This window comes from Homo sapiens, chromosome 5 (genome assembly GCF_000001405.40).
Source record: "Homo sapiens chromosome 5, GRCh38.p14 Primary Assembly".
Taxonomy (NCBI): Eukaryota; Metazoa; Chordata; class Mammalia; order Primates; family Hominidae; genus Homo; species Homo sapiens.
The window spans coordinates 154,898,836-154,915,751 of NC_000005.10; the positions used below are offsets into that span (position 1 = coordinate 154,898,836).

The following is a 16,916-nucleotide window of genomic DNA, read 5'->3' on the forward strand; positions in this document are numbered from 1 at the left end:
ACAATATCATATAGGTTAAGGACATAAGGAAAATGAGAGGGAATGACTCCTCTGTTGGGTTCAATCCAGCATGGGTTGAGGTTCCTTTATTTGATGTTATAAGAGACCATTAGAAAAATGCATAATTTCTTAATCTGCTGCTGAGGTTTTTCTTGAATAGTTATAGTGATTTATATAAATAAATCAGGAAGTAGTTCCTGATGAGTCTTATGAAACTAAGTTGAATATACATATCTTTTAAATAATTCCTTGCTGCTTTACCTCCACCTCTAAACTTATTACTTGTATTCTTGTCCTCCCCTTCCTGGCAGAAGCTCTCCTATGTTGGAAGCATCCCTCCACTCCTCAGGCTTACCATTTGGCAGCTACAGCATAGTGGCCATCTCTTTCTAGGACGGTTCCCCAGCTGAGGTACAAGTCCTTCAGGACTGGGTCCTCCGGGCGCAGCCGGGCCTTGGCAATCGCAATAGCTTCCCTAAAGGCAAGAACAGACCCTTTAGCCAATCTGAAAAGGCTCCTCTGTGTATGGTCCTAGGAGGGGCTGTAAGACAGGACAAACTGTCCCTTTTGTGTTGTCTTATTGTTCCAACTTCCTTTAAAAACTGCACTTGCATTATATAGACAAATTAGAAACATATGCTGCATTCGTTTCTTCACTTAGATCAGCAGTTCTTAAATTGTGGTCTGTGGATTCCTAGGGGGTCCTCAAGAACCTTTCAGAGGGTTCATGAGGTTAAAACTATTTTCGTAACAATGCTAAGAGTCAGTTATGTGCTTTTTTATTAAAAAAAAAAAAATGTGTTGACATTTGCACTGATTGTGCCAAAGCAGTGATTGGGAAACCTGGCATCTAAGAAGGAAGGCGGTGGCTCTTACAGTGGAAAAAAAGGAAGAATGCCCTTAATGAAGCAGTAAAAATTACAAATTTTACTAAATCCGTCAAGTCCAAAACACTTTAATATTCTGTGTGACAAATGGGAAGAACATTTTGTGTTCTCTGCTGCATTCCAAAGTAGAATGGTTGTCTCTAGGTAACACCTGTATGAACAAATTACAAGCTAAACTGGCTGCTTTTTCATAGAACCTTCTTTCTTCTAAAAAAAAAAAAAATGACTAACATAAATAACAGTTATTCAGTGTTGGGTATTTGGCAGATGTTTTTCTCAAAAATGAACAAAGTAGGCCTATCACTTCATTAAAAACAACCAACAGTATTTGTTACTAATGATAAAATGCGAGTTTTCTAGCAAAAATTAGAATTTTAGAAAACTTGTACCTACCACTTGTGTGCCTGAGTTTCCCATAAGTTAGAATTTTCTGATGAGACTGATGGTGATAGTAAGGAATGTGGTATTTTTGGGTATTTTATAATAAGATATGTTAACATTTGGAAGATCTGAACAACTCAGTAAACAAATATTTTTCAAATGACATACAACTGCTGAGTTGTAGCCAACATAAAGTTGTAGCTGGGAAAAAAGTGTTTTATTAGATTAAAGTGATCTAGAGAGAGCAATATTTTGAAAGTATTTTGGGACTTCTACTTCCAGCCATGATGGAGTAACTGGGACCAGACTTACCTTTCTGCCATAAAACTAAAAAACTGGACAAAATGGCTGAAACAACTGTTTTTAGATACCAGGTAACAGGCAGCATAGGATGGTCAGCCCTAAGAGAACAGAAACAAATGATGGGAGCCCTATCTTGGCACTGGCTTTCTGCCCAAAGCCATTTTCCTAAGGAAAACCTGAGCAAAACCTCAGCAGTCTCTGAGTTGAGAAGAGGAAACAATGGAAATCTGAGGGGCAGGATACTAGGAAGGAGGAAGCTGTCCAGAGAAAGACATCCACAACTCTGCCTGGAGATCCCATTGAGTCTTTGGCTAAATTAAAAGCCACGTATGTAAAGGAAACTCCTTAAGTCTAAACAAAGAATGACTAGGTAACTGTAAGCTGAACAATTCCCAGAGCTTACTCAGGACTTGGAGACATCTGAGTTTTGATTTGTTGAATGCATAAGGCATTCAAGAAAGATATCAAAATGTAGGAGGTAATTCTAGAATATGATAAACTTGCCCTAACGAAGTTTAAAAACAAGCCATGAAAAGATCAAGCTGATACACAACTTTACTACTTACCAAAACAAAGTTTAACACTCTCTAAAGGAAGATAACAAAACCAAAGCAGGGTAGAACAAAAAGAAAATCTTGGCCAAGCATGGTGGCTCATGCCTGTAATCCCAGCACTTTGGGAGGCTGAGGCACGAGGATCGCTTGAGCCCAGGAGTTGGCAATCAGCTTGGACAACACAGCAAGACTCCGTCTCTACAAAAAACTAAAAAATTAGTTGGATGTGGTGGCATGCACCTCCTGAGTAGTCCCAGTTACTCAGGGGGCTGAAGCAGGAGGACTGTTTCTTCTATTTATGTTACTTTAACAATAGAGAAGTTTAGGTTATTTTCACATTATGTCCAAGTATTATCCCAACTCTAGGACCACACAGACCTGTAAAAATGGTTTGACTTGAGCAGCTCCACCGCTTCATACACTTTGTGGATGGAAAGTAGGTGAGAAGCAGCCTTGACATACTGATCCTGAAAACACAGCTGTTTGGCAAAAGCTTCCACAGCCCATAGCCACACATGGTAGCCAGCTGAAAAAATAAAAGATGGTGGTTAAAAAAACAGTTGAAGAAAAAGTAAAAACAATACCCAGTACATTTGGGTTGAAAAAGCCTTGTTTTCGTCAATGCATTCAGCAGAACATTTAGATACCAATTCAGCTGCCATTATGGATCATCTGCTTCATCTACACATTCTGAAGCATCAATTGTTTGATTATGTAACACAAACAAAACAGTACAAAGTTGAAAAGATACAGAAAGGAATGTGTGAGCACAGTTAAATTCCTATAATCATAACTGATGAGCCAAAGGTAACATGACTACGTGCTTTTTTTTTTTCCCTTTCCTTTTATTGTTTTTTGAGACAGGGTCTCACTCTGTGGCTCAGGCTGGAGCGCAGTAGCACAATAATGGCTCACTGCAGCCTTAACCTCCCCGGGCTCAGGTGATCCTCCCACCACAGCCTCCCGAGTAGCGGGGACTACAGGTACATGTCACCATGCCCAGATAATTTTTTAATTTTTTTGTAGAGATGGGCTTTTGCCATGTTGCCTAGGCTGGTCTCAAACTCCTGGGATCAAGTGACCTGCCCACCTCGGCCTCCCGAAATGCTGGTATTACAGGCATGAATCAGGAATCACCACACCCAGCCTTTTTTTTTTTTAAAGAGACAAGGTCTCATGATGTTGCCCAGACTAGAATACACTGGCTATTCACAGGCACAATTAACAGAGCGCTATAGGTCTGAACGCCTAGCCTTAAGCAATCCTCCTGCCTCAGCCTCCTGAGCAGCTGGGGACTACAGACTTGTGCCATTATATCTTTTAAAATTTACTAGACATGGCCAAATTGTCCTTCAAGAAGTTCTCACCAATTATGCTTTTGCCAATTAAAGTGTCAGTGACCTGCTTTTTTTCAAAGGGGTTGGGTTGGATTTATTAGTTTGTCTATTGCTGTCTATTGCTTTGTATCTATTTGTAAGTGATTTCAAGCTTAAGACTGTGCTAAGAGCCATCTTTAGTGGACGTATCCTAGAGATGATAGAGCTTTTGTTGAAAAGAACAAACAAACAAAAACCATACCTGCTGGTGCCATAGCCACAAGGTTGTCTGTCAGCTCCCCTCTTTCTGCTGCAGTCTGGAGAACACCTTTGAGATCTCCTTTCCAAAGCATAAGCTGGTGAAATAACTCAGGGTGGCCATTTTCTAAGTGACCTTTTCCTGTTTGAAAGAGAGATAATGTTTGGAAGGTGTTTCAGAAACATCTGTTACTGACTTGTAGGAAAAGAAAGGCAAGATAGAAGAGAAAGTGAGCTCCTAAAATATGCAGTCATTCTCTGATGGGTGTCACCTACCAGAGTGATTACAGTAAGATCTGAAGCCCACTTGGTCACTGTACACTCCCACACCTTCACATGTACTCAGAGTGAATGCTGTATGTTTAGGATCCTATGATGATGCAAGGGTTGTATCAATATGTAAATCAGGGAGCTCAAAACCTAGTTAGCTGACACGTAAAACTAACCATTATAATATCACAGGATGACAGCCATCAAAGAGGTGCACACAAAATGTTGGGAAAGTATAAAGATGGATGAGATTATGTTGACTGGATTTGTCTCACCTTCAATATCAATCATTCTATACAGGGTAGCCCTGTCTGTGAAAAGCCCCAGATGAAATCTTTCCTCAACATCAGCAGACACATCTTCATTCAGCTCTGTTAATTTAAAAAGGCAAAAAAATCAGATGAAGTCATTACATTGATTACAGTTTTCTCTCCAATAACTTCCGAATATATGTTTGGAACACCCACTTCAGACACTGAGAGAATCAGAGCTCTAACAGAGACTCCTGCAGTTACAAAGGGAGCAAAACACAAAAACACTTAAAATGTTAAAAGTGAACCCCAAATCAGAACATATTTAAGTGCAGTAAAAAACAAGCAAAACAATATTAATAAGCAAAAGAAAGTCCTTAATATTCACTGGGACTTACCACAAGGGGATTCAATATTCATCCTTTGCTTCAAAAAAAAAGTCAACTGAGTAATTTTCCAGTAAGGAAAATAATGTGAAACTAGGTTAACTATGTAAGTTATAGGAAGTCATCACAAAGCTCCAAAAAGGCTATGTATATAATAAAAGCATAAAACATCTCCATCAAGACACAAGAAACTGATAATAGTTTGATTATGCAATACAGACAAAACAGTTCAAAAATTCAAAAGAAAGAAACAAATGGAAGCCCAGGATAGTGACTACCCTTGTTAGGGTAGTGGGAGACAGTAACCGGGAGGGAGGATGGTCCTCCATTCCTGGGGAGGAGAAACAGAGGACTGGGAGGAAGATTTACTTTGAAAAAAAAATTAAAAAAAAATTTTTTTTTTTAAATAGAGAGAGGGTCTCACTATGTTGCCCAGGCTGGCCTTAAAGTGAGCTCAAGTGATCCTTCTGCTTCAGCCCCTTAAGCATCAATTTTATTTATTATGTGCATCCCTTTTCCACATGTAAACTTCAAATTTAAAAAATAAAGTTATTAAAATATCAAAATAGTGGACATTAAATGAAGACTTTGAAAAACAAAAATAAAACAACCCTTCAAAACAAAACTTACAAAGCAAAAGCTTCCATCAAATTTTTTTCTAAAAAAATGCCATATTATGAGCATATTTCCAATAAGAAAAAAAGATTTTTTTCTCCATAGGATACTGTTCAATGGGGAAAAGAGTTGAAGGAGTTTATTCATGCTGAGATACTTAGGCCAACATACCAATTCTGGCACACAGATGGCTGGGAGGAATTAGATTTAGAATAAAAGCAGAGCGCTACATTTCAAAGCCATGGCAGTGCTGACGGTGGGTCACAATGGGGAGTTTGGCAGCAAGGTGTAGGGGTATAGGGATGTGGAGGGAAGGGAGAGCTGGAGAACATAAAAATACAGAAAACAATTTAGACATTTCTTTGGGCATTCATTTAATAAATAAGTAAACATCCCTTATATACCAGTCCCGGAAGACTATGGATGGGCCAAGGAAGTACATTTTTGTACCTCTGGAGTGCTTTGCAGTTGCTAGTACCAAACAGTCCTGATGAAGCTCCTCTTTGGATCTGTGGTCCAGGCTTGTACTCAGGGGAAGCAAGGAACGAGCTTTTCTCTTCTTGATTAAGGTTTCTGAAATTTAATAAAGTACATACTATCTGAAGGAGAACTGATCAGAAACATAAAACGGAATGCCTATTGTGTGAATGTAACCTACTGGCAGGACGACACCACAGGCAGAGAAAGCTCCTCCTCCTAATAAAGAGGCTTTCAAAATAAATTTGCTGGGGGCATTGTTCACAATACACACAAAAACGCTCTTGCTAACATTTATGATGTAGTGTCAACAACTGCAAAACATTTCATCAAGTGCTAAAAAAAATTCAAAAGCATGACCCAAAATGGAAGTGGAAGTCTGGGCACAATGGCTCACGCCTGTAATCCCAGCACTTTGGGAGGCTGAGGCGGGCGGATCACTGGAGGCCAGCAGTTCGAGACCAGCCTGGCCAACATGGTGAATCCCCGTCTCTACTAAAAATAACAAAAGTTAGCTGGGCATGGTGGCGGGCGCCTGTAATCCCAGCTACTCGGGAGGCTGAGGCAGGAGGATCGCTTGAGCCCGGGAAGTGGAGTTTGTAGTGAGCCAAGAGTGTGCCACTGCACTCCAGCCTGGGTGACTGGAGTGAAAATCTGTCTCAAAACAAACAAAAAACAAACAAAAAACCCATAATCAGAAAACCTACAAATATTTTGAACCTATAAAAACAAACAAGAAACCACACTGTTTTTTGACAGTTGCGTGTAATATATGTAATATTTTAGGCTGCTTTAACAAAATACTGTATTTTAATTACTAGATACCAACCTGGCTTCTCTTTTGGTGGCTCCTTTTTCAGTAAAATGACTTTGTTATTAATGGTGACTTTTGACTTTTCAAAGCCTGAGGAAACTGGAGTGCAGATAACTGGTTCTCTAGAAACTACATCATGGGGGAAAAAGGAAAAAAAAAGTTAAGGATAACAATAATACAGAATTTCAGTTCTTTGTAAAAATTAAGAGCCATTCCAAGCTTAGCAATATAATCAATTCATCTATTACCAAAACTTTTGAGATAAAATGCACTGGAAAAGAAGTAGGAGTAGTTTCCCCTTTCCCACCTCCCAAACTAGCTGTTTTCAGGAATCTGTAAGTCTATTACTTTGGTTTTTTTTTTTTTTTTGAGACGAAGTCTCACTCTGTCGCCCAGGCTGGAAATTCAGTGGCGCAATCTTGGCTTACTGCAACCTCTGCCTCCTAGGTCCAAGCAATTCTCCTGCCTGAGCCTCGCCAGTAGCTGGCACAAGCCACCATGCCTGGCTAATTTTTGTATTTTTAGTAGAGACAGGGTTTCGCCATGTTGGCCAGGGTGATCTCAAACTCCTGACCTCAGGTGATCCACCTGCCTCAGCCTCCCAAACTGCTGGGATTACAGGCGTGAGCCACCGCTCCTGGCTTACTTTTTTTTTTTTCTTTTGGTTAGAGATAAGATATAACTGTTGCCCAGGCTGGAGTGCAGTGGGTGCAATCACAGTCACTGAGGCCTTAACCTCCTGGGCTCAGGTGATCCTCCCCTCCTCAGCCTCCCAGAGTGGCTAGGACTATAGGCACAAGCCATTATCTTGGTAATTTTTATATTTTTTGCAAAGATGGGGGTTCCCTATGTTGCTTAGGCTAGTCTCAAGCTCCTGGGTTGAAGCAAGTCTCTTTCCTTGGCCTCCCATAGTGCTGGGATTACAGGCATGAACCACCATGCCCGCCTTACTTTGAACTTTGACTAAGGAAAAAGCTTCCAGCCCTCCACAACTTTATACCATAAGCCAAGGAGTTCCTATACTTTGCTCAGGTGACAAAGCACTTTTTACATTTCTAGGTCATAAAGTACTAATTGCATATTTAATTACACTAACAGGAGTAACTTTAATAATAGAGAATACTAGGTGTATGCAATATGGTGTCACAATCCTGAGCACAGGAACTTTTTAAAAACAACTTGTTGATCCATGTTTTGTATAGCCATTTTGTGAAAGAAAGACTTTTTAAAAAAAAGAAAAATAAAGAGATGGGGGGTCTTGCTGTGTTGCCCAGGCTGGCCTCAAGCGGTTCTCCTGCCTCAGCCTCCTGAGGATCTGGGACTAGAGGTATGTGTCTCTGTACCCGACTAGAAAAGCATTCTGATGAGCCAAAATAATAAATCCATTAGGCTTTTTGCTCTTTATTTACCCCAACTATGTGTCTAACAGCTATCCCTTGGGATGGAGAGCATCAGGAATGCCTTGTATCCTATATTCTAGCCATTTCAATACTGTCACATCAATGGATTCTGTTTTAGAATTAAGTATGAGTTACTGCTTCTACTTACACTGTTTGCTATTTAATCGTTTATTTTACCAGGGACCAGATATTTATCACTTGGTCTGACAAACCATTCTCAACAGGTCCCGAGTAAATGTACAAAATAAAAAGAGTGCTAAAATTTTTACCTAACAGTTTTTTTGTTAGTGATAGAACACTGTTTTGTGAGACATCTGAGAGCCATCACTACAGCTTAACTCACTAGAAAAACCTAATAACCATTCACACATTTTTTTTCTGTGAGAAGACAGAAAGCCGCGTACAAACTCCACGTAAGGGGGTGAGAGCTTGCAAGTTCCCACAGTGGTGGTAGCTTCTAGGTCAGACATTTGTAAGGGACAGTAGTTTCTTTCACCAAATGTGGCTACTGATGTCATACTGTTAAAACTTTTCCCATGTAAGTTCCTATGTACACAACTGACCCAGCTTCGCTTCGTCCCACGGTTTTACCTTGCCCAAGTTGAATAAGAAGTTTTCTCTGTAGAACTTTACTATTTCCACCACAAACATCCACTAGAACCCCTTTAAAACTTCAAAGATGTTTATTTTAGAGACTTGAATAAAGCTTAACAAAAAAAACTAATGCTGTTTCCAAGAGTTGGAAAAATGGGAACAGCGAAGTTTCAAACTGAGTAAGGACCTAGCTTAGTTTCCCAGACACGACCATGAAATCCTAGTGATACACAGGATTCTGCCACATACCCGCTGGAGCAAGGCCACAGGGTAATTCCGGCTCCCGTGCTTGCTCCTCCCCTTCTTGGTCTGACACACCATTCTCAACAGGTCCTGAGTTCTCCTTCATGCTTTCTTCTTCATTTCCATCAATCGATTCCAGCTTTACAGGAGTTCTCAAGGTGGGCTTTTTCTTCTTTTTGGGCTTTGCCTTAGGTTGAGAGAGCCGTTTTTTCTCCAATTCAATACTTTTTTTGCCTACAAGAATCACAATAAAGGACTGACTAAAGTATACATTCTTGGTTAAAAGCACTCTAGGTGGTAAACTCCAATATCTCATTCCTCTTTAATAGCATTTTTACCCATTCCCTTTCTTCTCAATGAACTTTTAGAATTATATTATCACAATATTAACCAAACCCTTTTGAAATTTCATTAAATCATAAACATGATGCCCAATAACACCCAAATATTTTAGTGTGTGTCTTATGAACAGGACATGCTCCGACGTCACCATAGTACAACCATGGAAATCAGGAAATTAACACGATTCACTACTGCCACCTACTCCATACTCTCTATTTAAGTTCTGCCAATTTTACCCAGATGTCCTTTTTTTTTTTTTTTTTTTTTTTTTTGGAGATGGTTTCGCTCTTCTTGCCCCGGCGGGAGTGCAATGGCGAGATCTCAGCTCACCGCAACTTCTGCCTCCCAGGTTCAAGCGATTCTCCTGCTTCAGCCTCCTGAGTAGCTGGGATTACAGGCACGCACAACCACGCCCAGCTAATTTTTGTATTTTCAGTAGAGACGGGGTTTCACCATGTTGGTCAGGCTGGTCTCAAACTCCTGACCTCAGGTGATCTGCCTGCCTCGGCCTCCCAAAGTGCTGGGATTACAGGCATGAGCCACCACGCCCGGCCTACCCAGATGTCTTTTATAGCAAAAGGAATCAATCCAGGATCACATGGTACATTTGGTTGCCATGCCTTTCTGGTTCCCTTCAGCCTGGAACAGTTAGTTGCATGGTTTTCCTTTGACTTTCATAATCTGAAACTTCTGAAGATTACAAGACAGTTATTTTGTCCAATTTCCCTCAATTTAGGTCTGCCAGATGTTTTTCATGACTAGATTTAGGGTATGCATCTTTAGCTGGAATGCACATTAGTGCTGCTGTGTTCATGCAGGGCAATCTATGAGGTAGCAGCTAATTTTTATTCGTCCCATTTGGTTTACTTTGATCACCTGATTAAGGGTGTGTCTTGCAAGTTACTCCCTAAAAGGGTATTTCCCCTGTTTAACTACTAAGTATTTGCATCTACTAGTTTTTGTATTCACTGATGTTTCTTGATTAAAAATTGTTACTATGATGACTGCCAAATGGTGAGTTTGTTTTTTCTTTTTTTCTCTTTTTTGAGACAGGTTCTTGCTCTGTTGTCTGGGCTGGAGTGCGGTGGCAGAATCTCCGTTCACGGCAGCCTTACTTGACCTTCCAGGCTCAAGCAATCCTCCTGCCTCAGCCTCTTGAATAGCTGGGACTACAGGTGTGCGACACCATGCCTGGGTAATTTTTGTATTTTTTTTTTTTTTTTTTTTTGTAGAGATGGGGTTTTGTCATGTTGGCCAGGCTGGTATCAAACACCTGGGCTCAAGTGATCAGCTCGCCTCCCAAAGTACTGGGATTACAGGCGTGAGCTACTGTGCCTGGCCCACAAGGTGAACTTCTAATTCCAGGATTTCACTCTACATTCTACCACAAGGAAGAGCTTGGCATCTAGTTGGCATCCTACCACAAGGAAGAGCTTGTGCTTCTCCCCATTTATTTATTATATCGGTCTGGACTCATGAATTCTTCCATTACTGTTACATTTACATTTTTAAGGTTTCTATATTTACATTTTAAGGTTTTTATCCTTTGCTTACTTTAAAATCATCTTTACTGAGGGGTAATATAATAAAATACACCAATTTTTAAATACTTTGGTACAAAGTACCTACCACCACCACAATTACTTTTGTACTAATCTAATATTTCCACCAAGCCTCTTTGTAGTAAGATATACCCCCTGCTTGAGCCCTAGGCAATCACTAATTTGCTCTCACTGTGGTTTAGTTTTGCCTGTTGAAGAATTTCACATACACCGGGCGCAGTGGCTCATGCCTATAATCCCAGCACTTTGGGAGGCTGAGGCGGGCAGATCATCTGAGGTCAAGAGTTCAATACCAGCCTAGCCAACATGGTGAATCCCTGTCTCTACTAAAAACACAAACAATTAGCTGGGTGTGAGGCACGCACCTATAGTCACAGCTACTCAAAAGGCTGAGGCAGGAGAATTGTTTGAACCTGTGGGGCAGAGGTTGTAGTGAGCCGAGAGTGCACCACTGCACTCTGGCCTGGGTGACAGAGTAAGACTCCGTTTCAAGAAAAAAAAAAAAGAATTTCACATAAACAGAATTAGACAGTATGTAGTCTTTTGTGCCTGGCTGCTTCTGCTTGGCATAATGTTTTTCTAGATTCATCCATTTTGTTCTTTATCAGTTGTTACCTTCTTTTTATTGTGGAATAGAAGCCTACTGTAAGGATATACCACAATTAATTCATTTATCTGATGATGGACATTTGGATTGTTACCAGTTTTTGGTGATCACAGATAAAGCTACTATGAGCATTCTTTTACAAGTCTTTATGTGGACACATCATTTCATTTCTTTGGGTGTAAATTTCTAGTTGTTTAATATATTCTTTCATTTAAAATAAAAAAAAAACTTATTTCACAGAGACAGTGTCCCCCTATGTTGTCCAGGTTAGTCCTGAACTCCTGGGCTCAAGCCATCCTCCTGCCTCGGCATCCCAAAGTGTTGGGATTATAGGAGTGAGCCAGCATGCTTGGCCAATTTTTCCTATTTGCTTTTATTTTGCAGTTCTTGGTAGAAATGGGATCTCGCTCTGTTGCCAGGCTGGTCTCAAACTCCTGGCCTCAAGTGATCCTCTAGCCTTGGCTTCCCAAAGTGCTGGGAATACAGACATGAGCCACTGTGCCCAGCAGTTGCTTAATATATTTTGTCTAGCTTTCTAGTTGCTTATGGCAAGTCTGATACCAATTAATCTTTCTTAGCCAGGAATGGAATTTTCCTCTTACTTTCTCTTTTTTTTGTTTTGAGACGGAGTCTCGCTGTGTCACCCAGGCTGGAGTACAGTGGCGCAATCTCGGCTCACTGCAAGCTCCGCCTCCTGGCTTCACGCCATTCTCCTGCCTCAGCCTCCCGAGTAGCTGGGACTACAGGCACCCGCCAACACGCCCGGGTAATTTTTTGTATTTTTAGTAGAGACAGGGTTTCACCTGTTAGTCAGGATGGTCTCGGATCTCCCGACCTTGTGATCCGCCCATCTCGGCCTCCCAAAGTGCTGGGATTACAGGTGTGAGCCATCGCACCTGGCCTCCTCTTACTTATGTTTAACAGTTGTCCCAGATTTGGTCAGTGGGAACCTCTTCAAGCTGTTTCTTTTGTCCTTTTGACATGTCTCCTGAATTCTTTGAGTACTGCCTTCCTTTCTGGCATAAGAATGTTCCAGGTTCAGTTTGTTCTCTACCTGTCCCAGACTGGAACCAGCCATTTCTCCAAGAAGCCATGGACATTTTTAGTGGAGAATGTCATTTAGAAACCAAGATCTGGGCTGGGCACGGTGGCTCATGCCTGTAATCCTAGCACTTTGGGAGGTTGATAGGCAGATCACTTGAGGCCAGGAGTTTGAGACCAGCCTGGCCAACATGGCTAGATCCCGTCTCTACTAAAAACACAAAAAAATTAGCCAGCATGGTAGTGCGCACCTGTAGTCCCAGCTACTAGGGAGGTCAAGGTGCGAGAATTGCTTTAACCCAGGAGGTGGAGGCTGCAGCGAGCCAAGATCACGCCACTACATTCCAGTCTGGGCAACAGAGCGAGACTCTGTCTCAAAAAAGAAACCAAGATCTGAGTGCTAGGTATGCTCTTTCCTATTGTGGGTGGTGTTGTTCTCAAGCCCTTGTGGCTGCTTTCTTGCTTAGGCTCAGACCCCTGCCCTACTGACACTAATGCCCTACACGAATGTCTTCCTTGCTCAATCCTGATCAACTCAATTATTAAGAAAGGGAGAAAAAGAATTAGATAAGCTCTAGGTTCTGACTGACCTTGAGGAGGCCGGGAATGATCTTGCATGGAAGTGAGCCACTTGTGCACACAAAAGTCATCTGCCCCTGAATAGATGCAGTCTGGATCCAAAGGAGACCATGCCACACAAAGCAGTCGACCTCGATGTCCTCGGAAATTGCACAGGGGCTCTTCCCGGAGAGCATCCCACACCTAAACCCAAAAGCACATGGCCGAAAAGACATTTTCTGGTTATTCTATTGTTTGGGCAGTATGTTTTCTAATTAAAAACAAAAAACAAAAAACAAAAACAATCTGCGGCCTCTTATTTCCTCAGGTGATTTAGAGTTTTCTCTTAGAAGTTCAATTTCAGAAGAGTGCTATTTCCTGTGAGAGACTTCTGTGCTTGGAGATGCATAGACATTTCTACGGGGATGATTTTGAATGAGCTTCTACTGGTGTCCCATGGATTTCACTGTCTCGAACCAATACTGTATGTTAACTTTTGGGCTTGAGATTCTGGTATCACGAAGAAAATAGCCCACATCTAGCACAGAAATTAGACTTCTAATTTCTCATAGGTGAATCTTTTGTCTCCAACTCCTTGAGTAATTGGCCAATTTCCTTTCTATTTCTTGAATTATTCTGAACTCAGTTTCACAGAAGGCAGCCCTTTGCGGCTCCCAGCTTTGTGCAGACATCTCAATTACAACTCAACACTAAGCGAGATACATCACAGATGTTAAGTCCCCAGCTCTAGTTCTGATATCCACAAGTCCTCCCTCATAGATCTGGCTTGGCATTTCATCTTTATTTATTTAGAACTTGGAGATTTCTGACTTACCAATTTATTATTAAAAAATTGTTTTGTGATTTTTAGCCAACATTTCAGTGTCTGAACAGAAGAGAGTACTTTGCATATCATATTAGTCCACCATACTGATAGTGAGTCAGAATGAAATCTGTAAAAATGTTAGAGTTAGCTAGCTCCTATCAATACTTTCCCCTTCATCTAAGTAACAAAAAAAAAAACCCAGTCTTAGCCTAGGCCCTATGTGGAATGAAACTAAAATGCCTCCTAGAGCCCAGAAAATCTCCTTCAGTAGATGATGATAATGGGGGAGGGGGAACCTGTTCACAACTGGGGGAAAAGAAGAAAGAATTTGTTAGAGTACACAGTGAAGGACCCACAGGGACAAGGACACAATAGTACCTGGGCTGTACCATCATAGGAAGCAGATACCAGCCTTCCATCATGATGTGGGCTCCACGCCACACTGGTAATCTTGGCCGTATGCCCTGAGAGGGTCCGGTAGGGCTCTGTAATGGTCACTGGAGACTCAGGGCTGCTCTCTAAAAGGCAAAGGAAAGACATCACTGCTGCTACTACTAATAACAAAAAACAAAACAAAGTACATCCAGGAAGGCATTCACATGACAAGAATCAAGATTTTGCCATACACTTTCTAGGTTATTTTTTTTTTGAGATGGAGTTTCGCTCTTGTTGCTCAGGCTGGAGTGCAATGGCGCAATGCAATGGCGCAATCTCGGCTCACTGCAACCTCCGCCTCCTGGGTTCAAGCGATTCTCCTGCCTCAGCCTCCCAAGTCTAGGTGATTTTTAGCAGGCAACATTGTTAGTTATTAAGAGTGTGGACACATCCACAGTGCTTAGCATATAGATTACCACAAGAAGTGTTAGGTCTCATTATAACTTATAGGATATTCTAGCTAAAATGTATAATTTGAATATAGTCATGAGAAAATACCAGACAAATGCAAAATGAGAAAGCATCTACAAAACGAGTGCCCTATCTTCCTCAAAAGTGTCACATAAGATTTTAAAAAGTCTGGCTTGGCCAGGCGTGTCGGCTCACGCCTATAATCCCAGCACTTTGGGAGGCCAAGGTGGGCAAATTGCTTGAGTTCAGGAGTTCAAGACCGGCCTGTGGAAACCCTGACTCTAAAAAAAAAATACAAAAATTAACCGGGTGTGTTGGTGCACACCTATAGTCCCAGCTACATAGGAGGCTGAGATGGGTGGACTGCTTGAGCCTGGGAGGCAGAGGTTGTAGTGAGCTGAGATCGTGCCACTGTACTACAGCCTGGGTGACAGAGTGAGACCCTGTCTCAAAAAAAAAGGAAAACACAAAAAACAAAAACCAACCTAGCTGGGCATGGTGGTATGTGCCTGTAGTCCCAACTACTCAGGAGACTGAGGTGGGAGGACGGCTTGAGTCCAGGAATTGGAGACTGTCATGAGCTATAACTGCACCACTACACTCCACCCTGAACAATACAGTGAGACCCAGTTTCTAAAAAATAAATAAATACACACATAATTTTTTTTTTTTTGAGATGGAGTTTCACTCATCTCCCAGGCTGGAGTGCAATGGCACGATCTCGGCTCAATGCAACCTCTGCCTCCCAGGTTCAAACCATTCTCCTGCCTCAGCCTCCTGAGTAGCTGGGATTATAGGCATGCACCACCAAGCCCAGCTAATTTTTGTATTTTTAGTAGAGACAGGGTTTCACCATGTTGGCCAGGCTGGTTTCGAACTCCGGACCTCAGGCGATCCGCCCACCTTGGCCTCCCAAAGTGCCGGGATTATAGGCGTGAGCCACCACGCCCGGCCTAAATAAATAATTTTTAAAAGACTGAGAAATTATTATAGATGAAAGGAGACTAAAGAGACATGACAACAAAATGCAAATAGGTGATCCTGCATTGGAATCTGCACTGGAGAAAAAAAAAATCACTATTAAGAACATCATTGGATCAACTGACACAACTAGAATATGGGTGGCTGATTACACTATTTTACTTTTTTTTTTTTTTTTTTTAAAGAGACTAGGTCTTACCCTGTGGCCAAGGGTGGAGTACAGTGACAGTCATATAGCTAACTGTAGCCTCCAACTCCTGGGCTCAAGGGATCCTCCCACCTCAGCCTGTGAGTAACTGGGCCTATAGGTACCCATCATGTCCAGCTAATCAAGTGATCTTCCTGCCATGGTCTCCTCAAGTGTTGGGATTATAGGCATGAGCCACCACACGTAGCCTAAACTATTTGTTTAAATTGACAAATAATAGTTGTGTATATTTTAAGGGAAAGATTAAACTATTATATATTAAGTTAAACTAACAAACTGATAATTGGTAGGAAAAACTACATACATACACGCACACAGAATAAAGCCAATATGACAACACATTAAAAATTGTTGAATCTATTAATAGGAAAAAGTATATGCGATTTCTTTGTACAATTCTTATAACTTTCCTCTGTGTCTCAAATATTTCAAAATAAGAAGGTAAAAATTAAAATGGATTCTGGCAGTTTTCTTCCTTTCTCTATTATTTAGTAGATATGATATAAAGTGGATGATTAATTTAGAATCCCAATAATAATCATAAGGACCAGAATCAGCTTTCTAACTTATGTTCATTAGTTATACACTGTCTACTATTTATTACTAGGAAAACACATCTACATTTTAATACTTTTTCCATATTGCTTTTAACTCAGGAGTCACTACTAGAACCAAAAATATTTTTTCTTGTTACACATAGGATTCTTAGAAAACTACTGAAGTAAATTCTAGAGAAATGAAAAATGTAACTATTTTCACTATGGCTGAGAGCACATGTTTTATAGCACTCTGAAAACAATTTAGTGTCAGATTATAATTTCTTCATATTAGGAAAAAAAGTAATCCCACTTCACTCATATTTAAAACTGGCTCTTCTGACCACCTACTATGGTTTTCCAGGTGCCGAAGGGGCCTCAGTGAAATTTAAGATTTCTTATGGAATAAATTATACCCATATGAAAGTTAACTCATTAAGCATGGAATAGTACTTGCTAGAACACATACAGACACTGCAATTAGACACTCTAAGGTTGAATCTAGGCCCTATCATGTATTAGCGATGCTACTTGCTTGAATAAGTTAGCTAACCTTTCTGGGCCTCAGTGTAATCATTGGGAAAATGAGGATAACGTTACCTATCACCCTCACAGGATTGTGAGAATCAGATGCAATCAAACACGGGAATGAGGTATGTG

The 16,916-nt window shown here is 40.9% G+C and overlaps 1 protein-coding gene across 2 annotated transcripts in view, besides 1 other annotated feature; it reads right to left on the minus strand.

The window, feature by feature from the left end:
* The window catches only part of GEMIN5 (gem nuclear organelle associated protein 5), a 50,801-nt gene that overhangs the window by 11,425 nt on the left and 22,460 nt on the right, over window positions 1-16,916 (minus strand). For both annotated transcript variants that reach the window (NM_001252156.2, NM_015465.5), the window contains exons 14-22: window positions 14,064-14,203; window positions 12,892-13,063; window positions 8,756-8,983; window positions 6,528-6,641; window positions 5,672-5,794; window positions 4,245-4,340; window positions 3,704-3,841; window positions 2,504-2,651; window positions 356-475 (exon numbers count right to left, since the gene is read on the minus strand). In NM_001252156.2, the coding sequence (NP_001239085.1) occupies window positions 356-475; window positions 2,504-2,651; window positions 3,704-3,841; window positions 4,245-4,340; window positions 5,672-5,794; window positions 6,528-6,641; window positions 8,756-8,983; window positions 12,892-13,063; window positions 14,064-14,203 (1,279 nt within the window). The remainder of the gene's footprint in view (window positions 1-355; window positions 476-2,503; window positions 2,652-3,703; window positions 3,842-4,244; window positions 4,341-5,671; window positions 5,795-6,527; window positions 6,642-8,755; window positions 8,984-12,891; window positions 13,064-14,063; window positions 14,204-16,916) is intronic.
* Window positions 9,502-10,001: an enhancer, noted in NCBI's record as "NANOG-H3K4me1 hESC enhancer chr5:154287897-154288396 (GRCh37/hg19 assembly coordinates)". NCBI's record gives its function as "activates a minimal SCP1, AML or CMV promoter by ChIP-STARR-seq in naive and primed H9 embryonic stem cells {active_cell/tissue: H9 hESC(naive and primed)}" and the evidence as "EXISTENCE:reporter gene assay evidence [ECO:0000049][PMID:30033119]".